General features: G+C 40.1%; 1 pseudogene across 1 annotated transcript in view, besides 1 other annotated feature; it reads left to right on the top strand.

Moving 5' to 3' along the window:
- CCDC162P (coiled-coil domain containing 162, pseudogene) overlaps positions 1-27,415 on the top strand; it is a 189,118-nt pseudogene that overhangs the window by 10,390 nt on the left and 151,313 nt on the right. The window contains exons 2-8 of the transcript NR_152435.1: positions 7,707-7,871; positions 11,416-11,488; positions 11,739-11,849; positions 20,265-20,378; positions 20,853-21,047; positions 22,139-22,292; positions 23,313-23,470. The product of NR_152435.1 is annotated as a coiled-coil domain containing 162, pseudogene (transcript). The remainder of the gene's footprint in view (positions 1-7,706; positions 7,872-11,415; positions 11,489-11,738; positions 11,850-20,264; positions 20,379-20,852; positions 21,048-22,138; positions 22,293-23,312; positions 23,471-27,415) is intronic.
- Positions 17,699-18,199: an enhancer, noted in NCBI's record as "H3K4me1 hESC enhancer chr6:109515122-109515622 (GRCh37/hg19 assembly coordinates)". NCBI's record gives its function as "activates a minimal SCP1, AML or CMV promoter by ChIP-STARR-seq in primed H9 embryonic stem cells {active_cell/tissue: H9 hESC(primed)}" and the evidence as "EXISTENCE:reporter gene assay evidence [ECO:0000049][PMID:30033119]".

A 27,415-nucleotide genomic window follows, 5' to 3' on the forward strand; every position in this document is an offset into this window, starting at 1 on the left:
AGCCAAAGTTTAAGAAAGTTTCTTTGGGGCCGGTCGTAGTGGCTTATGCCTGTAATCCCAGCACTTTGGGAGGCTGAGGCTGGCGGAACATGAGGTCAGGAGTTTAAGACCAGCCTGACCAACATGGTGAAACCCCGTCTCTACTAAAAATACAAAAATTAGCTGGACGTGGTGGTGTGCGCCTGTAATCCTAGCTACTCAAGAGGCTGAGGCAGAAGAATCGCTTGAACCCAGGAGGCAGAGGTTGCAGTGAGCCAAGATTACACCAAAGTGCTGGGATTACAGGCATGAGCCACTGTGCCTGGCTACTTTGGGTAAGATTTAGTAAAGGCCACATCATGAAAACAGTTAAGTTACAGTCATATGTTGAAAGACATTGGAAGGTTATAGAAGCAACAAAGACTAGAAGAACCAAAATTCCAGAAATGAAAGAGCCTTCCTAGGTGAGTTGACAGTCCCTGGCTATTTGCTTCCTTAGCCAATCTACCAATTCTAGTCACAGTGACAGTTTTGGCATAAGAACCCAAATGCGACAAACAGAAGCCAGGGAGACTTTTGAAGGCCATGGCTGCAGGAATGGCAGAGTTGAATCTAATGTCTGAAATATACCCATTGGATATTTGCTGAATGCCAAGGTGTGAAGGAGTCTGGGGGGCTGGTCTAGAAAGGCAAAGTAAAATCTGCAGTCTTGCCATGCTTAAAAGATAAACCCTGCTAGAAGGAGGAACTGCGTCAAATATACGACAGTTCTCTCCCTCAAATTTTTGCCAGATTTTGAACTTTCATGGGGTGGGAAACTAAGTTCGAACCTTTGAAGGACAGAATTTCAGAGATGAGGAAAAAGAGAAATGTCAATCTATCAATCAAAAGGCTCAGAAGGCACACCTAAGAAGGAAGTTGGAAAGGCAGGTAAAATCTGAGATTAGCTTAGGAGACAACACCCCACAGGAGAGAGGAAGCCAGCACAAAACACTTGGCCAGTTTTCCTCTCTAGACGTTTGCCAGATTTTGAAGCTGCAGGAGGTTAAAGAGCTAAACTAAAACCTCTAAAAGGGTAGAAATCTTCGGTTAAAAAAAAAAAAACACTAGCCAAAGAATAAAAACCTTACAATGGGCCGGGTGTGGTGGCTCATGCCTGTAATCCCAGAACTTTGGGAGGCTGAGGCAGGTGGATCACCTGAGGTCAGGAGTTTGAGACCAGCCTGACCAACATGGAAAAACCCCATCTCTACTAAAAATAAAAAATTAGCCAGGCATGGTGGCGCATGCCTGTAATCCCAGCTATTCGGGAGGCTGAGGCAGGAGAATCACTAGAACCCAGGAGGTGGAGGTTGCAGTGAGCCGAGATCGTGCCACTGCACTCCAGCCTGGGCAACAAGAGCAAAACTCGGTCTCAAAAAATAAAATTAAAAATTAAATATATATATATATATATATATATATATATATATATATAACTAATGTGTTGAGGACAAAATGGGGAAATAGGTAAATTCACTGTAATAAGATTTTAATATACCTAGCTCATATATCCTTTAAAAAATCAGTGATTACATCAATGGATATAAAAGATTTGAACAACATGACTAGCCAATATGATCTAATTGGCGTATATAAAACACTATTCCCAACATCAGAATACACATTTTTTCAAGTATACATGAAACATTTACCAAAATAACCATATGTTGGGTTATAAAGCAAGCTTGACATATTTTTAAAAATTGAAGTCATACGGAATATGTTCTCAGGCCACAGTGGAATCATACTAGAAACCATAACAGAAAGAACCAGTTTTAAATAACTCTTATGTCAAAGAAGAAATCATAATAGAAATTAGAAAATATTTAAAATATAGTGAAAACACAACATTAAAAACTTCTGTGATGTAGCTAGAATAGTGCTTAGAGGGAAATTTATAATATTAAATACATTACACGAGAGGTTAAAAATTATTTATCTAAACATCCATCTCAAGAGCTGGAAAAAGAAAAGCAAATTAAACTCAAGATAGTAAAAGCAATGATCTACTAAGTTAGGTGAGCAGAAATCAGTAAAAGAAAAGGCAGACATGAATAACCTAGAGAAAACTCAGTAATACTGGTTCTTTGAAAAAAATTAGTAAAATTGATAAATCTCTAATAAGACTGATCAAGATAAAAGCAAGTACAAGCTGGGCGCGGTAGCTCATGCTTGTAATCTCAGCACTTTGGGATGCCAAGGCAGGCGGATCACCTGAGGTCAGGAGTTCGAGACCAGCTTGGCCAACATGGTGAAACCCTGTCTCTAATAAAGATACAAAAATTAGCCAGGTGAAGTGGCACCTGCCTGTAATCCCAGCTACTCAGGAGACTGAGGCAGAAGAATCACTTGAACATGGGGGGCGGAGGTTGCAGTGAGCTGAGATTGTGCCACTGCACTCCAGCCTCGGCAACAGAGCAAGACTTCATCTCAAAAAAAAAAAAAAAAAAAAAAAAAAAAAGACAAGTACAGAAATTACCAATATCAGGAATATAAAAGGAGACAGCACTACACATTTTATAAATATTAAAAAGATAAGAAGTTTAAAAGGACAACATCAAGAAAGTGAAAGGATGACCCACAGAATGGAAGAAAATATTTGCAAATTGTACATCTGATAAGGGACATGTATCTAGAATATATAAGAACTCTTACAACTCATCAATAAAATACAAATAATCCAATTAAAAATAGGCAAAGGATCTGAATGGACATTTCTCCAAAGAAGACATACAAATGGCCAATAAGCATGTGAAAAGATGATTGACGTCATTAGCCACTGGGAAATGCAAATTAAAACCACAATAAGATACCACTTCACACCAACTAGTATGGCTTAAATTAAAAAGACAGATAGTAACAAGTGTTAGCAAGGCTGTGGAGAAATTGAAACTCTCATACATGGCTGATTGGAATGTAAAATGGTACAACCACTTTGGAAAAGTCTGGCAGTTTCTCAAAGGTCAAACATATTTACCCTGTAATTCCACTCCTACACATATACTCAAGGGAAATGAAAACAGATGTGCACAAAACCTTGTATATGAATGTTCATAGCAATATTATGTATAATTGCCCCCAAATTGAAACAACCCAGATGTCCATCAGTTGATGAACAAATAAAATGTAGTATAGTTGTTCAATGGAATATTATTCAGCCATTGAAAATGAATGAAGTGCTGATACATGCTACAACAAGGATGAGCCTTGAAAACATGCTAAGTAAAAGAAGCCAGTCACAAAGGACTACATATTGTATGGTTCTGTTGATATGAAATGTTCATATAAATCTGTAGAGACAAATCTGTAGAGAGAAAGTCAATTAGTGGTTGCTTATTGTTAGGAAGAAGAGGTAGCTTAGAGAAAAATGAGGAGTGGCTGGTAATGGCAATAGGGTTTCTTTTTAGGGTAATGAAATGTTCTAAAATCGATTGTGGTAATGATTGCACAACTCTGAATATACTAAATAAAAATCATTGATTGTGCATTTCATGTGAGTTAATCAGATGTTGTGTTAATTATATCTCAACAAAGCTGTTAAAAAGTATGATACTATGAAAAACCTCACATCCCCCCAAAATTCATCTACTTAGATGAAATGTGCTTATATATCCAAATGTTCTTTTAAAAGTCTTAATAAAATGAACACAAAAATAAATAGAAAATTGAATAGCTATATATCTGTTTAAAAAATTGAATCTGTAATTGAAGTCCTCCCATACAGAAAACTTCAGTTTACTATATTTCAGAGGTGATTTATTCCAAGTATTTAAGGAAGGATATAGCAATTATAAACATTCTTCAGAAAATAGAGAACACTTCACAACATGTCTTATGAGGCCAGCATAATGTTGATACCAAAATTTCACAAAAACATTATAAGAAAAATGACAGGCCAATGTCTCTCATGAACATAAATGCAAACATTCTGAAAAACATAGTAGAAAATTGAATACATTTTTCTATAAAAAAGATAACAAATTATGACCAAATGGAGTTTATTCTAAAAACACAATTTTGGATTAACTTTTGAAAATCTGTGAAATTAACCACATTAACAAATAGATGAGGGAGATCACATGATTAATAGATGCAGAAAAAGCATTTGACATAATTCACCCTTTCAAGAAAAAAGTAAAATAAGCCTCTCAGCAAACTAGAAGTAGAAGCAGGTTATTCAACTCAGACTATCAAATATATTTATCTCATGTCCCCTATGTTCTATAGACACAATGAAGGGAAAACACTAATGTGTTTATCTGAACAATGCCTAGGGGATGATGAAGCAGACTTGGAAGGAACCCGGGCCGTTGAGTGCCCATTTAGTAGTGGGGCTGCTCTACAACCCCAGACCATTTACATTAGCACCATTAGGTTAGAGAGATTTAAAAGATCTTTTTTCTTTGATTGATTGATTGATTGATTGATTGGAGACAGAGCCTCACTCTGTCACCCAAACTGGAGTAGAGTGGTGCTCACTGCAACCTCAGCCTCCTGGGTTCAAGCCATTCTGCCTCAGCCTCCTAAGTAGCTGGGATCACAGGTGTATGCCACCATGCCTGGCTAGTTTTTGTATTTTTAGTAGAGGTGGGGTTTCACCATGTTGGCCAGGCTGGTCTCGAACTCCTGGCCTCAAGTGATCCACCCACCTCAGCCTCCCAAAGTGCTGGGATTATAGGCATGAGTTTGTTCTTTTAGCCACTGGTGATGGTGTCTTTTTGTTACAATGGCTTAGCCACACCCCTACTAATGCAGAAGCTGGCATGTAATGTATTTCATTTGAAAGCATAGATGATTTGAAAGCATTTGATGATCAAGATGACTACGTATCAAAAATGTTTACCCAACAAGGTTACAGAGTATCTATCTGTGCAGATCAATAAAGAGAATTGGATTAGCCCACAGTGATATGGGACCAGTATGCTTATCAGTTTAAATTCTGGCATTTGCTAGAATAAAAATAATTGTTTTATTTTGGTACATATCACATTATCAAGTTTTGGGAGCCTTTAAAACACTTGAAGCTGTGCTGATTTATGTATTTTGATGAGCTTAACTATTTACATTTATTATAATTACTGTTACATTTGAACTTAATTCTGCCATACTTCTTTTTGTTCCCCCCCACCACCACTTTTCTTACCTTCTATTGCAGGGGTCCCCAGTCCCCAGGCCATGGACCAGTACTCATCAGTGGCCTGTTAGGAACTGGGCCACACAGCAGGAGGTGAGCACAGGCAAGCAAGCATTACCACCTGAGCTTCCTCTGGTCAGATCAGTAGCAGCATTTGGAGTCTCATAGGAGCATGAACCCTATTGTGAATGGTTCATGTGAGGGATCTAGGTTGCGTGCTCCTTGTGAGAATCTAGCTAATGCTTGATGATCTGAGGTGGAGCAGTTTCATCCTGAAACCATCCCTCTGCCTGGCCACCTGCTGCTTCCCATCCATGGAAAAATTGTCTTCCATGAAACCAATCCCTGTTGCCAAAAAGGTTGGGGACCACCGTTTATTGGATTTAAAAGTCCTATCTCACCCCTTACTCCCACTTCTTTGGGAAGCTCTAGGATACATTTCTTTTTTTTTTTTTAATAGGTACGGATATTTTTATTTTATTTTTATTTTTTCCTATTTTTTATTATACTTTAAGTTCTAGGGTACATGTGCACAACGTGCAGGTTTGTTACATATGTATACATGTGCCATGTTGGTGTGCTGCACCCATTAGCTCATCATTTACATTAGGTATATCTCCTAATGCTATCCCTCCCCACTCCCCTCATCCTATGACAGGCCCTGGTGTGTGAAGTTCCCCACCCTGTGTCCAAGTGTTCTCATTGTTCAATTCCCACCTACGAGTGAGAACATGCAGTGTTTGGTTTTCTGTCCTTGCGATAGTTTGCTCAGAATGACGGTTTCTAGCTTCATCCATGTCCCTACAAATGACATGAACTCATCTAGATGCATTTCTATTCTTTTACTCATCACCTTGAAACTTTTAAAATAGTTACTCAGTATTTCTTTTCTAAACGTGTCTGCTTTATCCCCATCCAAGCCTGCTGTAACCACACATTGAACACCCCCAAACCTTGCTCAAGCTGATCTTACTATTTTTGTCTTAAATTTTAACCACGTTTTAAATGCATAAAAATTATGTATTATACATAATTATGAATTACAAATAATTAAATGTACTTATTTTTAAAAACATGATTGAAGAAATTCTCTTTTCTCGCAATCTCTTTTCTAAGACTAAATGAGTTCCCAGTGCTTGCCTGACACACGGTAGGTTCTCAATAAATGAAGCACACCTCCCATACCCCTCCAAATAAACAGTTGTCTCTTTAAACCTAGACATGAGTGCTCAGCAGGCATGTATTTCTCTGGGTTGGATTCATTTCATGGACAGTTGTCAAAGACTGACCCCTTTATGTTAATTTTCTGAATACTGTGCTTGACTGTGTTGCAAGCTAAACAGTACAGGATTAAATGTTCTCATTTCTGAGCTGTGAAGTGTTGAAACTGATCAAGAAATGAAGGCAGAATGTCCGTCCTTTGGGAGAATAATCAGCCAGTCTATGTTGCTGCCACTCTTGGCTGCCGATTGGAATGCAGCTGTTAAGGCAGCTGTTTAACTGTTTGCCCAACTTGAAAGGACACTGCCAAATGGCAAATATTTTCTATAACAACATTTTACTTTTGCTAAGAACAATAACAGTGCATTTTATTGAGCTCCAATGGCGTGCCAAACACGACAGATTTATTACTAGGCAGGTTCACAACCTGGACTGAACATGGATGCTCATTTCCATTTTTCATATATTTAGAAAAAGAATAAATGGGCTCCCAAAGGAAGCCTCTACACAAAACATCTCTACAGCTTAATTATTTGTTGAAATGACAGCATATTAACTTGAGAAAATGAAATATCTCAAAAGGAAAGATGAGAGTCTAGAAATATCACAGGAAAAAAATAAGGTTTAAGTATTTTAAATCTCTCTAATGTGGCCTAAGAGAGACTTAACTCATACTTGTCCAGGACAGGTGAGGGCAGCAGTAACACAAGGAAATACATCATCTGTTGAATCCCCTGCAACTTATGGGTCCCAGGACTTCTGAGTCATGCAGTTAATCTACATTGTTAATTAGAATGTTGATACTAAGTACTTAACAAACAATTATGTTGAATTTGACAGACTGTGAACCAGGTGAGGTGGGGTGGGAGGTTATCAGCTGTTATTTAATGGTAAAACCGGTATGCTAAATGTAGGCAGTCAAAATTAAGAAAACACATTCAAATGCGGAAGTACAATTTTCTATTAGAAGTCAGCAATAACTGCCATTCACAGAAGTTACTGTGTAATCCCCACAAACATTTATCAAGACTGCAGAGGTGAGGGGTGGTGGGGGGTGCATTCTCACTTATTAAACCCCACAGCCAAAGCTGAAGCAGAGATGTTTTTGAAGGTGAACTGGGCTAATCAAAGGCATGGCCAGTGGAGATTCTAACCTACTTTTTCTCTACTGTTTACTAGATGTTAATTAAATCACAAATGACAACAGTCTAATAGCAAAATGCATGCATTTCTACAAAGTTGACATGATTTCTTGGACAAAGATAGACAAAGTTCAACATGCTGGATAATGGTCACTGAGGGCATCAAGATTTGTGATCCTCTTTTTCAGGGATACAGAAAAACAGCAAATACAAATCATGGATGAAATTTATAAGATCACTTCCACAGAAAGGGTCCAGCTGTTGGAGAAAAAACTGGCTGTGCAACTGACTGAACTGAAGTCTGAGATAGAAGAGCAGGGAGCTCTTCAGGGAACAGCTAATCGAGTTTACAGGTAAATAGTGGCACTGAGAAGGTGTGATCTTCAGGGGCTTTACTCCCCACTCTCACTCCGTAATCTACATCAGCACCCTCTCTTCTTTTTACATAGACAATTGGCATTATCTCCAGTTCAGATAAATAGTATATAATAGCAGTTTCAGGTACCCATTTCTAACCTGATTGCTACCTCTAAGATTTTTCTATATTCTAGATTTGTTAAGACAGATCCAAGCAAAAGTCTTACCAAGGAAAATGTAAGTGTTTTTACATGTTAATTAATGCTATTGTCTTGAAGTTACAGGAGCTATAATACAAATCATACTCAATGAAAGGAGATCTCATTTTACCCAATAATATTTTAATTGAATTTGACTTTGATGTTGGTGAGAAATTTAAAAGCTGAAATAATGGTAGGCACTTAGTAATACATTATGCAAAACAATGTTCTGTGAGTGTTATCAGCACTCTGGATTCTTGCTGTCTCCCAGGATAGAAATCAAGAGAGATCACCAAACAGAGCAGCAGCAAAGGTAAGTGTATTCAGGTTGTGCACAAGGGAGCCAGCACCAAGAAAGGAAAAGGAAAGAGATGCTCTCCAAGGGTAGTGTGTGCGTTAGTTTTATAGCATCCTTTGATAGAGAAGGGTTACATCAGGGCACATATGGCGGGGTGCGGGGGGTGTGGTTTCTAGTGCTCATACAGTGGCTCAACATGCTTCTTCATACATCAAATGTAGCATTAGCATTTTAAATCTCCACCCAAGGCATTATTCTTAGCACAAAAATGAGGAAGGGGTAACTATAGGTTGAGTTTTAGTTCTAACTGCACCTGTGGGGCTTTGTGGAAGTCTCTATCCCCCCAAAGTAGGAACTTGCTGTTAATAACTCCTTGGGTCTTTTGTTACTGATTTGCTGAGAGTTAGGTAAGCTAGGGCTTGAGTAGGGGCTTCTGTTCTCCTCTAGAGCAGATCACAACAGGAAGCCAGCCAGCCTGTTTCATTAGGAGCTCTTCTATAGGTAAGTGCTGCCAACAACAGCAATCAAGTTATTGTAGAGAAACAAGAGACACAGATCAGCCCCTAATGGCAAGTCTCATGGACCCAGGACCTTCATATCCCTGTTTCTGATACTGCCACAACTGATCAAAAGGAGCAATATAAGAACCCTGTTAGGTTGAATCATTGAGAAAACACAATGTGGATGGTGAGAGGTTTGGAGAGGTCAGAAGATGCAGTAAGCAGGTGAATTAGTACTTCATTCCAAAGACAATTCTGAAGAACCAGCATTTCATATGTTTTTTAATTAGTATTTAAAACCATTAGGTGTCTGAAGCAAATCAGATTGTGTGATGAGATGGAAAGATCATGGAACCATGCAAGTCATAATTTCTCTCAATTTTGGTTTCTTTATTTGAAAAATGAGGTTAGTACCTTGCCTACCTACATAAGGTTGTGAGGATAATGAAATAATGCATGTTAAAGTATTTTTAAGACTAGAAAACACAATGCAAAGATGGAGTGTTGATATTATTATGATTTAAATGTCAGAATGTCAGGCAAGTGACTCCCCAGTGTACACTGGGATAAGAAAGGCTTTCTGATGTCTCTTAGAATCGAGTGATGGGAAATCCTGGATAGCCTTATTTGTCTACTCCCCCAAATCACCCAACACTGCACCTAACAAATACTTCTTGAGCACCTTCTGTTTTCCAGGTGCTGTGCTAGGTTCTAGAGTCCAAGGAACATGGAAATATCCACTCCTGATAATCACTTTAACATTCTCATTCCACTAGATTGAAAAATCTATTGAGGCTTGGAGAAGAACTGTGTGTCTTAAACATTTCCGCCCCCCCCCCCCCGTTTTTTTTGCATCCTTTCCCTTGTTTTACTCCACAAACCCAAGACTTTGCAGTGGTTAAGTGTTTCATAAATTCTTGCTGAATGAATAAATGAATGAATGTATGTTGAATGAACAATGCTTGATGAACGTATGAGTAAATCTCTTTTTGCAGGTTGATGTACACACTACTTATGTTCACCAGTCTCTTCAGGGTCATTCACAGGCACTTTGAGGCTAACTGAGAGGAAAGACAAGATCTGAGTGAGAGAGGGCTGGGTAGCTAAGCCCATGACCCTCCCCATCTCCCAGTATGCCAAAGATAAGAAGACAAGAGGGCAGGGGAAAGTTTCTTGTGTTTCTCTAGCTGCCTAGTAATAGCTGATCCCTTTTCTGGTTGGTTACTCATTCCCCACCGCCACAAGGCTGCAGCCAGGATTCAGAATGACAGAAATTATACCTCAGGTTTATTACCGGTTTTATTCTCAAATCCCTTTCAGAGCTCACCTCTTTTTCTTTTTCCATTAAAGCGAAGATATTAGGAGATAAGAGGGGCATTATCTCCAACTTCAGGGGTGGAAATTTGACACAATGTGTCTAAATGGGTTGCTTAGGCTCACTTGACTGATGGATTTCTTGACTGTCAGCCTGGGGTTCTTTTCACAGAACCACTGCCTGCAGTGGGGGAAATTGCTGGCAAGTGTACAAACTAACAGTGTATTTTTATCTTCCCTTAAAACTTATCTGGGAACTCATAGGCCATATGAACAATAATAACCTAAATGTCACTGCTTACACCTCCTGCATAATCTCTAGGTGGTCTCTCACCTGTGTTCCAGACTACCTGCTGTGGCCCCTTACCAATGTCTGCAAAATACTATCTTGAGAAAGTGATGTCTGCATCAGGGTTGCTGTTTCCTGATGTTTTCAAAGCTGCCAAACCTTGGGATATATCTTATCCCAAATGTGGAGCACTCTGCTGTTCCTGACCCAGGGTCCACCCCCTTACCAGGTGACCCCACAGCTTGTGCCTCCTTGTATCAGAGTCCATGGTAAAAACAACAGGTCCCTCATCAGTGGGTGTGAACAGGAATCCACAAGGCTGCTTAAACAGGCACTTCTGCTATAAATGTTTTTCCTACGAATCAATAATTTTCCTGAAGCATTAAGTTTGGTTAAAATGATTCCTGAAGTATTTCATGTTTGATATTTAAGAGTCATTCCCACCCCCCAGCAGATAATTCATCAAGAACACAAAAATAAAAGCATTTTATTTTAAATTACACGATACTGGTTTTATGTGCCAACTAGGGTGAAAATGGGATCTGAGAGGCACAATATTTGTCAGAGATAAGGTTGCTGGAGGGAATTCAGGTGGGGAAATAAAAATCCTCACCATTGTGTCCCTCCCTTTATTCTGCAGTAGGAAATAGTGAAGTGAATCAAGGGTAGAACGAAATACTCTGTTTGTTTGGGGAGGGGAGAGAAAAATTGGCCCAGGGAAAAGTTTAGCAAACATGCTAATCAAAGAAGAATCAAGAAAGATTCTAACCAAAACAAAAGGATGTGGCCTTTGCGTGCCCTCAATAATCCAGTATAATATGATATACTTATTCAGAAATGAGCAGTTGTGAAGAGTTACAGATTAATCATGGTCTATCTATAATCTGGTCGATTACAGCTTCTGTAATTACCACTTATATTGCATAAATCTTTCTGCAGCTCTATTCAAATGCCAAAGGATATTTATTACTTTAGAAGAGAGAGGGAACTAGCACTGAAGAAAACCTTACAGGTGAGTAAGACAGTGGGCTATTTCAATATGACAATAAGTTTGATTTTGCTGACTGGTAACTTTTAGCAGAAACAGTATTTTTGCAGACAAACAGCTGATGCTATTAACAGTATTTATGAGAACAGTCCACTATTCAGCTTACCACTGAATCAGAGCAGACCATTATTTCCTTGGAAATGTCTGATTTTGTGATATTTGAAATTTTACAGTTCTTTAATTTGGGATGTTAAAACTAGTTATTTGGGTTTAGGTGGCCGAGTCGAAGCCCCTTGTTGTTCAGGCAGATGCCGTGCAGAGGGAGCTAGAGAGCTGCCTAAGAAGGGAGTACACCCCTGAAAATTTACCTTTGCTTCTGTTGCAGGTAAGAGTGATACTGCAATTTGAAAAATTCATTTGAAATTAGTAGAAATGTATGGGCAAACTGGCTTTCAGGAATATCCTTTCGCTAGGGTAGGTTTTGTTTTTCTCGACATGTATAGTTTGCAGAACTTGGCTAGTGTAAACGCTGTTCTTTGTTAGAGATCTATTTCACAGTTTTAAATTCAGCTTAAAGGCACGGAACAATTGACTGAATTTCTGCTAAGTACTTTCTGTGTCGATAATGTAGGGCAATACCACATTGACTAGGACAGTTCTAGCCCTTAAAAAGCTATTGGCTGTGGCCAGGCATGGTGGCTCATGCCTGTGATCCCAGCCCTTTGGGAGGCCGAGGCAGGCAGATCACTTGAGGTTAGGAGTTCAAGACCAGCCTGGCCAATATGGTGAAACCCCGTCTCTACTAAAAATAGAAAAATTAGCTGGGCATGGTGGCGCATGCCTGTAGTCCCAGCTACTCAGTAGGCTGAGGCAGAAGAATCGCTTGAACCTGGGAGGCAGAGGTTGCTGAGAGCTCAGATCAAGCGACTGCACTCCAGTCTTGGCCTCCCAAAGTGCTGGGATTACAGGTGTATGCCACTGTGCCAAGCCCTGGAAATTTCTATTAAGAAAATAACTCAAGACATGGGAAAAAGAGTTTTCCATAAAGATTATTATTGCAGCATTATAATAAAAGTAAAACATTAGGATTGCCTGAATATCCACCAATAAGAGAAAGAGTTAAGAAAAACAGTACGGTACATGGTAGAATATTGTTCTGCCATTAAACATTTTTTATTGTTAAATTAAGTTTAGCTTAAAGCTGCCTCATTTTAAGTTCAGAACCCTTGGTAAGGTTTCTCCCTACATAGTGACGTGTAACCTAACTGGACTGTAAATAGACCATAACCTACTCTTGTAACAAGTAACTGAGTCTCAGCCAATCACAGAAGCCATACTTCAGCCACTTGCAGGCAGCCAACTGTTCAAAGTGTGTTCAAATAAGGCAAACACTGAGCTGTAACCAATCTGACTGTTTCTGTACCTCACATCTCTTTTCTGTTACTTCACTTTCCTTCTTCTGTCCATAAATCCTCTTTCACTGTGCAGCAGTGCTGGAGTCTCTCTGAACTTACTCTGGTTGGGGGGCTAGGAGGGCTGCCCAATTCATGAATTGTTCTTTACTTAATTAAACTCTGTTAAATTTAATTTGTCTAAAGTTTTTCTTTTAACATTAGCATAAGGAATTATTATATATGAAATATTAGTTAATAAAAACTAATGTGTGTATGTATGTGTGTCATAATGGTCAAGTATGTATAGAAAAAAAATCACTTGAAGGACTTAGACCAAATGCTAATGAATGTTATGTTTGGATGGCAGGATAATGAAGTTCCCCTTTTTACTTTTATATGTTTGCTAAATTTTCTATAATAAGTATATATTATTTTGATTTTAAAATTCCTTGTTCTCTATTCCTGTGTTACAAGTTATATCTTACCTATGCATACAAATTAGTTCTTTAGCAACTAGTTAGGAATTAACTATTACATTAATCACAAAGAAACAAAAGATATTGAGATACTATTTGCAAGTCAAATTGTCATCATTGTCTTCATTCAGGATTATCTTTCCCTATCATTTCTGGCATTTTTCATTCTTTTGTGTATATCAGTGTTTCTCAAGGGACAGAGAAGAGGGGTAGAGATAGAAGATATTTTGTGCCCCAAGGGACATTTGGAAATGTCTGGGGATATTTCTTGTTGTCATAATTTGGGTGAGGGGTATGATTGGTTGCTACTAGCATTAAGTGAGTAGAGGCCAAGGATGCTGCTAAACATTCTACAATGCACAAGGCAGCCTCTCACAATGAAGAATTATGTAGTCCCCAATGTCAATAGCTGCTGAGGTTGAGAAACTCTAGTATTATCTAAACTTCCATAGGACATAATTTGCCTTCTCTCTGAAGAATTTTCTTTAGCATTTCTAGTAGTTCAGGTCTGCAAGGGACAAATTCTCAGTCTTTGTTATTTTGAAAGAAGTATTTCCCCTTCATTTTGGAAAGATATTTTTGTTCAGCATAGAATTCTGGTTTGGTGATTTTTTATTGCTTTAAAATACTGCTCCATTGTCTTTTCTCTTTTGTCTTACATAGTTTCTCTTTCTTTCTTTCTTTTTCTTAGGTGACAGCTTTATTTTCATTAAGTATACACATTTTTGCAATTAAGATTAATTATACAAAAAATATAAAACATGCCATTTTAAAATAGAACTGTGGAATAGTTTGAATTTTTATCACTACTATATGTAAGTACACATGTTTATTCATAAGCTAAAAGGAAACTCAAATATATATCATAACAGGAAAGAGCACTTCACTAATTTAAGTGATTTTTTTTTTCTGTCAGCCTCTCACCATTTGCTTACTTGAACTAATGTGATATGGTTTGGCTGTGTCCCCACCCAAATCTCAACTTGAATTGTAGCTCCCATAATTCCCATGTGTCATGAGAGGGACTCGGTGGGAGGTAATGGAATCATGGCGGTGGGTCTTTCCCATGCTGTTCTCATGATAATAAGTCTCACAGATCTGATGGTTTTATAAAGGAGTGTTCCCCTGCACATGTCCTCTTGCCTGCCACCACATAAGGTGTCCCTTTGCTCTTCCTTCGTCCTCTGCCATGATTGTGAGGCCTCCCCAGCCATGTGGAACTGTGAGTCAATTAAACCTCTTTCCTTTATAAATTACCCAGTCTCATGTATGTCTTTATTAGCAGCACGAGAATGGACTGATACAGTAAATTTATACTGTTAGAATGGGGTACTGCTCTAAAGATACCTGAAAATGTGGAAGCAACTTTGGAACTGGGTAACAGGCAGAGGTTAGGACAGTTTGGAGGGCTCAGAAGAAGAAAGGAAGACGTGGGAAAGTTTGAAACTTCCCAGAGACTTGTTGAATGGCTTTGACCAAAATGCTGATAGTGATGTGGACAATAAAGTCCAGCCTGAGGTGGTCTCAGATAGAGATGAGGAACTTATTGGGAACTGGAGCAAAGGTGACTCTTGCTATGTTTTAGCAAAGAGACTGGCAGCATTTTGCCCTTGCCCTAGAGATTTGTGGAACTTTGAACTTGAGAGAGATGATTTAGGGCATCTGACCAAAGAAATTTGTAAGCAGCAAAGCATTCAAGAAGTGAATTGGGTGCTGTCAAAAGCACTCAGTTTTATGGATTTGCAAAGTTATGGTTTGGAATTGGAACTTACATTTAAAAGGGAAGCAGAGCATAAAAGTTCAGAAAACTTGCAGCCTGATGATGTGATAGAAAAGAAAAACCCATTTTCTGAGGAGAAATTCAAGCTAGCTGCAGAAATTTGTATAAATAACAAGGAACCAAATGTTAATCAGCAAGGCAATGGGGAAAATGTCTTCTGGGCATGTCAGAAGTCTTCATAGCAGCCCCTCCCATCACAGGCCTGGAGGCCTAGGAGGAAAAAATGGTTTCCTGGGCTGGGCCCAGGGCCTTGCTGCTTTGTGCAGTCTCAGAACTTGGTGTCCTGAGTCCCAGCCATGGCTAAAAATGGTCAATGTAGAGCTCAGGCCATTGCTTCAGAGGGTGCAAGCCCCAAGCCTTAGCAGCTTCCACATGGTGTTGAGCCTGCAGGTGCACAGAAGTCAAGAACTGAGGTTTGGGAACCTCCACCTAGATTTCAGATGATGTGTGGAAATGCCTGGGTGTCCAGGCAAAAGTTTGCTGCAGGGCAGAGCCCTCATGGAGAACCTCTGCTAGGGCAGTGTGGAAGGGAAATGTGGGGTGGGAGCCCCTATATGGGGTCCCCACTGGGGCACTGCCTAGTGGAGCTGTGAGAAGAGGGCCACCATCCTCCAGACCCCAGAATGGTAGATCCACTGACAGCTTTCACCGTGCACCTGGAAAAGCTGCAGACACTCAACGCCACCCCATGAAAGCAGTCAGGAGTGGGGACTGTACCTTGCAAAGCCACAGGGGCAAAGCTGCTCAAGACCATGGGAATGCACCTCTGGCATCAGCGTGACCTGGATGTGAGTCATGGAGTCAAAAGAGATCATTTTGGAGCTTTAAGATTTGACTGCCCTGCTGGATTTCAGATTTGCATGGGGCCTGTAACCCCTTTGTTTTGGTCAATTCCTCCTATTTGGAATGGGTATATTTACCCAATGCCTGTACCTCCATTGCATCTGGGTAGTAACTAACTTGCTTTTGATTTTACAGGCTCATAGGCAGAAGGCACTTGCCTTGTCTCAGGTGAGACTTTGGACTGTGGACATTTGAGTTAATGCTGAAATGAGTTAAGACTTTGGGGGACTGTTGGGAAGGCATGATTGGTTTTGAATTGTGAGGACATGAAATTTAGGAGGCACCAGGGGCTGAATGATATGGTTTGGCTCATATCCTCAGCCACATCTCATCTTGAATTGTAGCTCCCATAATTCCCATGTGTCATGGGAGGGACACAGTGGGAGGTAATTGAATCATGGGGGTGTGTCTTTCCCATGCTGTTCTCATGATAGTGAATAAGTCTCATGAGATCTGATGGTTTTATAAAGGGGCATTCCCCTGCACATGTCCTCTTGCCTGCCACCATGTAAGATGTGCCTTTCTCCTCTTTTGCCTTCTCTCTTGATTGTGAGGCCTCCCCAGCCATGTAGAACTGTGGGTCCATTAAACCTCTTTTTCTTTATAAATTACCCATTCTTGGGTATATCTTTATTAGCATTATGAGAACTGACTAATACGTAATGTTTCCATGGTTCGTCTTGGTCACTGGCATTGACCAGCAAAAGTCTTTGCATTTCACAGGCACATTAAAACCTAAATTATCCACAAAATCCAAAGTAACTTTCTTTTTTTGATATTTTATTCTTTTTTAAATAATTTCAACTTTTATTTTAGATTCAGGGGGCACATATGCAGGTTTGTTGCCTGGGTATATTGCGTAAGCCTGTGGATTGAGGTACAATTGATCTCGTCACCCAGGTAGTGAGCATGGTATGCAATAGGTAGTTTTTCAACCCCTACTCCCCTTCACTCCCTCCCCTCTCTAGTAGTTCCCAGTTTCTATTGTTCCCATCTTTATGTCCATATGTACCCAAAATTTAGCTCCCGCTTATAAGTGAGAACATGCGATATTTGGGTTTCTATTTCTGCATTAATTCACTTAGGCTAATGGCCTCTAGCTGCATCCATGTTGCTGCAAATGACATGATTTCATTCTTTTTTATGGATGTACATAGTTTCCATTTCTGATCATAGCATATCTTTTTATTTCTGGCTGCTTTTAAGATTTTTTCTTAATGGTTTTTAGATATTTTATTATGATGCATGTTGAAGTTTTCTTTGCGTTTTTCTTGCTTGGGGTTGGTTGAGCTTCTTGGATTGTGGGTTTATTGTTTTCATCAGTTTTTAAAAAACTTCAACCATTATTTTTTCAAATATATTTTCTGCCTGCACTTCTCCTTCTGGGAATCCAGTTACACATTTGTTAAATACTTCATATTGTTTCATAGATCATTAAGACTACTAATTTTCTTCAGTCTTTTTCCCCCCTCAGTGCCTCATTTGACATAGTTCCTGTTGCTATGTCTTCAAATTTATCAGCCTTTTCTTATGCACTGTCTAATCTACTTTAATCCCATCCAGTCAGTATTTTATTTCAGATATTGCATTTTTCATTTCTAGAAGTTCCCATTTGATTTGTTTTGATATTTTCCATTTATTTCCTCATTATGTTCACATTTCTTTTCTTATTCTTTTTTAAATTTTTTTTGAGACGGAGTCTCATCTCACTCTGTTGCCCAGGCTGGAGTGCAGTGGCTTGATTTCAGCTCACTGCAAACTCTGCCTCTTGGGTTCAACTGATTCTTGTGCCTCAGCCTCCCAAGCTGGGATTACAGGCACACACCACAACAGCTAGCTAATTTTTGTATTTTTAGTAAAGACAGGGTTTCGCTATGTTGGCTAGGCTCGTCTCAAATTCCTGGCCTCAAGTGATCCGCCCACCTCAGCCTCCCAAAGTGCTGGGATTACAGGCATAAGCCACCCTGATCAGCCTATGTTCACATTTTCCTTTCAATCCTTGAGCATGCTGAGCATATTTACAATAGTTCTTTAAAAGGTCTTGTTGGGGCCAGGCACGGTGGCTCACGCCTGTAATCCCAGCACTTTGGGAGGCCGAGGCAGGCAGATCATGAGGTCAGGAGATCGAGACCATCGTGGCAAACACGGTGAAACCCTGTCTCTACTAAAAATACAAAAAATTAGCCGGGCATGGTGGCGGGCGCCTGTAGTCCCAGCTACTCGGGAGGCTGAGGCAGGAGAATGGCGTGAACCTGGGAGGCGGAGCTTGCAGTGAGCCAAGATCATGCCACTGCACTCCAGCCTGGGCGACAGAGCAAGACTCCGTCTCAAAAAAATAAAAATAAAAAAAAAGTTCTTGTTGGTAACTTTCTTCACCTCTGTCATTTCTGAGCCTGTTTCTCATCCCTAATTTTTCTTTTGCTTTTGGATCATGCTTTCCTCTTTTCTTTGCATGTCTAGTAATTTTTTATTGAATGCTGAAAATTGTCAATTTTTCATTATTAAGTACCAGATTTTTTGTATTATTTAGAGCTTATTGGACTTTATTCTGGTAGGCAGTTAAGTTACTTACAGATCAGCTTAATCCTTTCAAGGCTGAAGGATTGTTAGAGCAGGTTTAGAATAATCATTACTCTAGGCATAGTTTATCCTTTTACTAAAGCTTTTGATGTCTCTACTAAATGTCCCAGATATTTAGTGAAAAGCCCTCACTCTAGCTGGTTGGACTTGAACAACTCTCAGCCTCATATGAACTCGGAACTGTTCAGTTTACAATTCCCTAGTCAGTTATTCTTTGGACAGCCTCCTGGAGTTTCACCTTTTACATGCATGGCTTAGTATTCAGCAACAGACTGAAAGGGATCTTGATGCAGATTTCTAGAATCCCTTCTTTGCATGGCTTCCTTCTCTCCTGCAAACATCAGCTGACTCAATTTTCCAAATTTCAGTTTCTCTTTCTTTAACTCAGAGAGATCATCTACTCTGCTTAGGATTCCCTTTCTTGCTCCATGGCTCAGAAACTGCCTTCTGGTATGAAACTAAGGTGATTGCAGGGCCTACATGATTTGTTTCCTTCTCTCAGGGACCAGAGTCCTGCATTGCCCATTGTCCAGTGTCAGAAAACAGTTACCTTGTATATTGTGTCCAATTTTCTAGTTGTTTATGATAGAAGGGTAAGTCTGGTTCTGGTTATTCCATCACAGCCAGTATTATTTTTATTATCAGAAAGAAAATCTTTAAAAGAATTAACTGTTTTTAAGTATAAATAAAATTTCTGATCTGAGGTTAAAAGCTATAATCTTACCTGTAATGTACTCTGTATTTTTGACTCATAAGTTCAGTTTTTAATAAAAAATTTTAGGCTCAGCTTTAGATTACTTGACAGACTTTTATGTCACTGCTAAAATTGTTTGGTAACTGAGAAATTAGCTTAAATCTATTGACTTGGTAACAGATCATAAAGACTTAGAAATGTCTACTCACTTTATTTCAATTTGAATACTATCTTGAGCCAGACTTCTCTTTTTTTGTCTTTTTGAGATAGAGTTTCACTCTTGTTGCCCAGGCTGGAGTGCAATGGTGCGATCTCGGCTCACTGCAACCTCTGCTCACTGCAACCTCTGCCTCCCAGGTTCAAGCAATTCTCCAGCATCAGCCTCTCGAGTAGCTGAGATTATAGGCACCCGCCACCATGCCCAGCTAATTTTTTGTATTTTTAGTAGAGATGGGGTTTCACTATGTTGGCCAGGCTGGTCTCGAACTCCTGACCTCAGGTGATCCACCCGCCTTGGCTTCCCAAAGTGCTGGGGTTACAGGCGTGAGCTACCACGCCCGGCCGAGCCAGACTTCTTAATGTTATGGTCTTCATATAGAAAAATACATCTTTCCGGCTGGGCACAGTGGCTTACGCCTGTAATCCCAGCACTTTGGGAGGCCGAGGCAGGCGGATCACGAGGTCAGGAGATCGAGACCATCCTGGCTAACACGGTGAAACCCCGTCTCTACTAAAAATACAAAAAATTAGCTGGGCGTGGTGGCAGGCGCCTGTAGTCCCAGCTACTCAGGAGGCTGAGGCAGGAGAATGGCATGAATCCGGGAGGCAGAGCTTGCCGTGAGCTGAGATCGTGCCACTGCACTCCAGCCTGGGCAAGAGAGCAAGACTCCGTCTCAAAAAAAAAAAAAAAAAAGAAAGAAAGAAAGAAAAATGCATCTTTCCAAAACAACCAGAGACTGATTTTCCTCGTTAGTGTTCTTAAGACTTTATTCAATCTTCCTTCTCTAAGTGCTTATTTTTCTTGTTGTTAAAGTATTACACAGAGAGAATTGCCCAGCTGGCCCAGAGTAAATATTTACACATGCTTAGGTGGAAGAGGTTTTGCCAACACAGTAAGATCATGGAGCAACTTTATCCTCTTTACAAGGTAGGAAGTCTATGAACAGAACCTCTGGGCTATTTTTTTATATTTTTAAAAGTCACAGCTAAAGATAGAAAAGAAACTAATGGATGTGCCTTCTTGCCTGTTCTACCTATGGCAGAAGGTAATGGTAAAGGTAATCTATTCTTAAGAATAAAATTTGAAGGAAGTTTTGTATGAGAGGAAATGCATTTTTCTTCACAGACTTAGCTTCCTCAGCTTTACGTAAAAAGTTCAGAAGCGACTCCAGTTATAAGTATCCCTATGCACTGACTCTTTGCTTGGAGTCTGTCTCCTTCAAAGTCCTAAGAATATGACCACTGTCCTTATAAGTCAAATTCAGAATATGGAAGAACTTTGGGATTCAAAGAACTCCTTTATTTAGACCCAAAACAACATTACCCTATGCTTGGAAGCAAATGATACAGAGCATAAGGCTTGCAAATAACCAAGTTCTATCTTTGTATCTCTCTTAAACAGAAACAAGTTGGCTACATTATGCAGGAGTACAATGACACCCTTCAGAGAGCTGAAAGATTGTCTGTTGCTCGAGAAAACTTCCTCATGGGAAAAAACAATCCTCCTAACTTGGTGACACAGGAAGATCTGACTATTTACACAAAGTGGTTAGTGTGCCACCTGCACTCTCTTGGGACTGTTCACCAGTACCTGCAGGTATGTGAAACACAGTGATGTGATGATGTGGCACCCTTCTAGGGATGATCAGTACATTGTTTTCTCACATCTGTCACTTAGTTTTAGATTGTCACTGTTTCAGGACTCCACCTGCCCTACAAATGACAGAAACATAATGGGTCACTGGATTTCTTCTTTGAAACCTTAGACATCTTTCTCTTTTGAAACTTTATTCTACTGAAATAATTTAGCTTTCTCAAAGATGACTCTGTTGTACTATTTCATATTCACTCTGTAAGTTCTTGTCTTCATCATCTTGTTCAGGATCTATGCTCTCTGATTTAGATCCACTTTTTAAATATTAGGTGATGTTTAATGAGGGTCTAATATGTGCCAGGTACTTGTCCTAGGCATGCAGCAAAGATACGGCCTTTGCTGAAAAGTAACTGGGTTCTCGGCTGGTAGGGATATGGGTAAGTAAATATTCAACTGAAATACAACGGGGTAAAAAAGAACAGGATAAGTGTAAGCATAGGGTAAAGAGAGTCACAGAGAGGCTCTAAGTCAGGCTAGAGGCATCAGAAAGGAGTAACATGATCACATTTCCATTTTGGAAAGATTATTGTTTTTCTACCCATATCTTTTCCTACTTCTCTCTGCCTTAGCTCAGAGACACCATCATACATGGAATTGCCCAAATCGGAAACTGGCTTCGTCCTTTCCCCGCACCCAGCCAGCCACTATGGGCACTTCCTCTGATACATTTCTCACCAGTCACATGGTGTTATAACGATCTGCTTATAAGTCTGGGTCTTTAGTAAACCGTGAGCTCTTTGAGGTTGTATCCTGTCTTATTCCTCTTTGTCTCCCTAGCACCCCACACAGTGCCTTGTCCATTTTGGGTCCTTGATCAAAGTAGACCTGTTTGGAGGTTAAGGCCACTCAGAGTCAGTAACAGTACTAGGTCTCCGAGCTCCAAATGTAGCCCCTTATCATTGGGCAGGTTACTGAGGCTCCACTTCTACTTCTTTTCTTCTCTCCCAAAGCAAAGGGCTGCTCCTGAACCTGAGTCTGGAAGCTTCTGTGAGAACTGTATTGATGTTTGGCCTCTTGGTCTTGCCCTTCTATAGGCCCTCCAGTATTTGCCCATCTCCAAAGTGCTGAGTGTAGCTTTCAACCGAGTCGCTGAAGCTGGTCAGAAAAATGAAAATGTCTGTGTCAATGACATTGACCCTGACATTCAGGGTTCTGCATCTCCTGACCCTGTGGATACCAGCATTTCTGGTAAGAAATTAGTCTTCTTTCCCCTCGGGTAATGTGGAGCAAAGAAGATTGTAATTTTAGACTTATGCTGGTTGTCCCATGTTCTTGCTAAAAATTGTTCTATATACCAAAATTTTTATCTCCTTAATAAATAAGTCTTAGTTTAATATTTTCAGACTGGAAAAAATAACAAACAATTTTTAAGACATGTTTTAATCTCCGTCTTTATAATTAGCAAGTTAAGAGTGAGAGAAAAAAATGGACTTGAAGTCAGCAGTACTGGGCTCTAGGCTTGTTCCTGTCCTGGCCTCACTGTGGGCCTGCATTTTATCTCCTTTGGCCTCAATTTGGTCATCTCCATAACAAACCTTTGAGAATCAGTGATCTCTAAGGCTCCTTCCAGTTTTCATATTACACAAATCTAAAATAATTTCTTCATCTGAATAAAATTAATGCAGTTTTCCTGCCCTTGCCTTGTGTTACAGATGACTAAGAAACCTGATAAGATTTCTACTCTGAGTGACATTCTTGCTTGGATGCACAGAGTGTCCCGGGAATGCCTGGGAGAGGCAGCCAACCCTGGTTGTGGGGCATCTGAGAAGGCTTCTTGAAGGAGGGGAGTCCAAACTGGGTCCTTAGAGATGAGGGGGAGTTAGCCATGTGAAAACAGCTGAAGGCTCTCACCTTCTTCTAATTTGTTGGATAAATTTATAAATAATGTTCTTCATTTACCAGAAAGGACTATAGGCAATTCTGCTCCAAGTCATTCCCTAAAAGGTCTGTTGGGTTTCTCCTGTAGGCTGTGAGATGGCAAGGAGTCCTTGCTGCCTCCTACAAAAGCCCAGCTCCAAGGATTTGTCAGATCCACCTGGCCAAGTAGGGTGCAGACTATAAATTGTGGCAGAAAATGTTGGGAAAGGAGCAGAATGGGCATCCCATCAGTAGAGGAGCTCCTACTTCTACCTGTCTCAAAGGACTCTCCATTTTCTCTCCCTGACAGTATTCATTGGTCTTAATGCTCTTGATTTTGGTTTTCCTCAGGGCCAATGAGAACAGAAGCTGCTTTTGTCCTCCCCCAACATGCAACAGAAACAGGAGAACTGAAACCTCAGCTGAAGCTCCTGCTCTCCCATTTCAGTATCCCATATGACGTAGAAGAGCTCTGGGACTCTGCTAAGGAAATGGAACTTTTTTCCTTGGTATTTGATACACTCTTTCTTAATACAAATATATGTGTTCATGAAAGAAAGCACTGGTATTTTCCACAAAGTTGCACCTTTTACTACCAACAATTGTTTCAAGAATGATCTTGTAAAGTAGTAATAGGTGAAATTTTGATTAGCAGTTGGGAAAACTTCCTCTGTAAGAGTAATGGGACTCAAATAGTGAACCCAGAAGGATTTCAGGACTTGTTTTTCTGCAGAACTTAAAGCAAAAGTAGTGTACAGTCTATAGTAGATGATGTAAAGATTTGGCAAATTTGCATGGCAGAGTTGTCAATTATCTAAAGCCCTCCAATTCTCAAAATATATTGCAATAGCTTTCCTTATTGACAAAATGCTTTATATTTAATAGAGGGTACATTGTGTAGTGATGTTTAAAGTCATGCAGTCTTCTCTGCTATAACACAGTGTTGTACTTCCTGAAATGAAAACAACTCATATTATCAAAAGCCATGTTAAAACTTGTTTCAAAGGGGGCCAGGCGTGTGGTTCATGCCTGTAATCCCAGCGCTTTGGGAGGCTGAAGCGGGGTATCACTTGAGCCCAGGATGGGCAGCATAGTGAAAACCTGTCTCAAAAAAAAAAAAAAAAAACTTGTTTGAATGAGAAAAATAGGACTATAGGTAGATAGCTTCAGATTTTTAAAAATATTTGAGATGGAGTCTTGCTCTGTCACCCAGGCTGGAGTGTAGTGGTGCAATCTCAGCTCAACGCAGTCTCCGCCTCCTGGGTCCAAGAGATTCTTCTGCCTCAGACACACCTGGCTAATTTTTGTATTTTTGGTAGAGATGGGGTTGCCATATTGGCCAGGCTGGTCTTGAACTCCTGGCCTCAGGTGATCTGCCCGCATTGGCCTCCCAAAGTGCTGGGATTACTGGCATGAGCCACCGCACCTGGCCAAGCTTCAGATTTATAATAACAAAAGTTTCAACAATAACGCTCTAACTGTATATTATTTGCAAGTGTATATATTTGATAGGTAAAAATAAGAGATTGATGGATCCAAACATGTAAAAATAAGATCTGAATAGTTTTGAATGCTCTTTACGTAAGAAGTAAGCTACCGTCTGTGCTATCACCATTTGCTTGAGTTTGAAATTCCACTTGCATTTCCATTTGTTCCAGCATAATTTTACCAGGATTTTGTGTGTGTGTGTGGGGTGGGGGGAGGTTGTTTTGTTTTGTTTTTAGACAGAGTCTCGGTCTGTCACCCAGGCTGGAGTACAGTGGTGCAATCTCAGCTCACTGCAACCACCACCTCCCAGGTTCAAGCAATTCTCCTGCCTCAGCCTCCCAAGTAGCTGGGATTACAGGCATGCGCCACCATGCCCAGCTAATTTTTGTATTTTTAGTAGAGACAGAGTTTCACTACATTGGCCAGGCTGACCTTGAACTCCTGACCTCAAGTGATCCACCGCCTCGGCCTCCCAAAGAGCTGGGATTACAGGCGTGAGCCACTGCGCCTGGCCCAGCATGATTTTTATTAGTATGTAACACAACCTCTTTAAGCTCACTGGAACCAGTGGTATCACATGTCTTCTTGTTTCCTTGAAGGTGATGATGTTTAGCTTTTGCCTTTCTTTTCATGCCACCAGCAGCACTGTCTCCAGCAGAGTGTTTCTGTGGGAGTGTCCTCCCCTTATTATCATCAAGGATTATGATAGGCAAAACACAGAATCAGAATATGATGGTGTTTAAGAAGAACCAAAATAAATGTAAGTTAATTATAGCCCAGGAGACTATTATTATTATTATTATTATTTTTTTTTTTTTTTTTTTTTTGAGACGGAGTCTTGCTTTGTTGCCCAGGCTGGAGTATAGTGGCACGATCTCTGCTCACTGCAAGCTCTGCCTCCTGAGTTCACGCCATTCTCCTGCCTCAGCCTCCTGAGTAGCTGGGACTACAGACGTCCACCACCATGCGCAGCTAATTTTTTGTATTTTTAGTAGAGATGGGGTTTCACCGTGTTAGCCAGGATGGTCTCGATCTCCTGACCTCGTGATCCACCCGCCTTGGCCTCCCAAAGTGCTAGGATTACAGGCATGAGCCACCACGCCCGGCCCAGGAGACTATTATTAATGATAAACAAGTGAACACAAGTCTGGCGGAGCACTCCAACAAAGCCATGTTGTTCCCAAAGAACAGCTTGTCTCCTTTTTATGATGATAATTTCCACTTTTAATTTTCTTATGATAGTATTATGTGAAATACTAATTGTGTTCCAAGATAACTAGTCACATTACATCAACTTTTTTGCCTAGGAAGAGTTCCTATGTTTAGGTGCTGTTTATTCTGATACTCTAATGCCTAAGAGCAGGGTCAGCAAACTACAGCCCCACTTGTTTTCTTAAAATAAAGTTGTTTTGGAATACAGCAGTCTTAGGTTCATTCAGGCTGCTATAACAAAATACCATAAACAGAGTGGCTTCTAAACAACAGAAATTTATTTCTTACAGTTCTGGAGGCTGGAAAGTTTAAGATCAAGGTAGTCTGATGTCTGGTGAGGACCCGCTTTCTGGCTCATATGTGGTGCCTTCTCGCTGTGTCCGCACATGGTAGAAGGGCAAGAGTCTCTCAGGCTTCTTTTATAAGGGCACTAATCCTATTCTTGAAGACTTCACCTTCATGACCCAATCACCTCCCCAAATTCCCATATCCTAATACCATCACTTTGTGGTTAGGATTTCAACACATGAATCTTGTGGGGACACAAACATTCAGACCCTAGCAACAGCCGTGCCTATTCATGTATGTATTTTCTATGGCTGCTTTCACACTACAACAGCAGACTTGAGTAGTTGTGACAGAGACCTTGTGGTCAATAAAGGCTAAAACACCTACTATCTGGCCCTTTAAGAAGTTTGCCAACCCAGTCATAGACCAGCACTGTCTCACTGAACTTCCAGAAGCAATGGATGTGTTCTGCCTTTGCACTGTCCCATGTTAACCACTAGTCACATACACTAATAGTTATCTGAGCACTTGGAATGTGGTTAGCACAACTCAAGAACTAGATTTCAAATTTTATTTAATTCTAATTAATTCATAATGTTAAACAGCCACATGTTGCTAGGGGCAACAGCATTGGATAGCACAACCTCAGAGGTAGTAGCATTATTACTAGAAGAATCTTCAGCTCTGTGACTCACAAATTTACTCACTCATTCCAGAAACCTTTGTTGAGGCCCTAGTATGTGTCAGCACTGTGGTAGTTTCTTACTGTGTGTGTACATGTGCACACATGAGTGGTAAAATAACATAACAAAATTTACCATTTTAGCCATTGGTAAGTGTTCGGTTCAGTGGCATTAAGTACATTCACATTGTTGTGTGGCCATCACCATGTGGTGAATTCTTGACATTCATAGTCTATGCCCTGAATGGGGCTCACCATGTAGTGAGGAAATCCTGACACAACGTGGCAAGTACAGTGATGAAGGTGCCACCACAGGGGCCCACACTGGAGGGGGAAGAAGGAATGTTCAGCATTTTGACAGTAGGAACCGATGTCGTAGAAAGCACTTGTAGCCTCAGTCTGAAAGTAAGCTATGAAGGGAATAGGTTGAGATGCCTTAAAGAGTTTAACAGGTTCTAGCATCGTCAGGCCTCTGAGAACAGGATTTATTTAATCCTTATTTAGTCTATAATAGTTTATTGGGTGGTCGGAAAAAGTGAATGCATTTTCAAAGGTGGACAATTTACTTCTCACTTATATTTAGGTTCCAGTTCAATATATATATATATAAATGCATTAATATATTTCCAATCTCTGGAGCAGACATTCAGAACAGGTAATACACACAATTATGGTAATGAGCTGACTGAGAACATGCGCCACACAAGTATGCCAATTTAAGGTCTTGTCACTATCACAGAGTTGTGTTTTATAAATTAGTTTGATTCCAAGGCTATTTCAAAGA

Source organism: Homo sapiens, chromosome 6 (genome assembly GCF_000001405.40).
Source record: "Homo sapiens chromosome 6, GRCh38.p14 Primary Assembly".
In the NCBI taxonomy this organism is placed as follows: domain Eukaryota; kingdom Metazoa; phylum Chordata; class Mammalia; order Primates; family Hominidae; genus Homo; species Homo sapiens.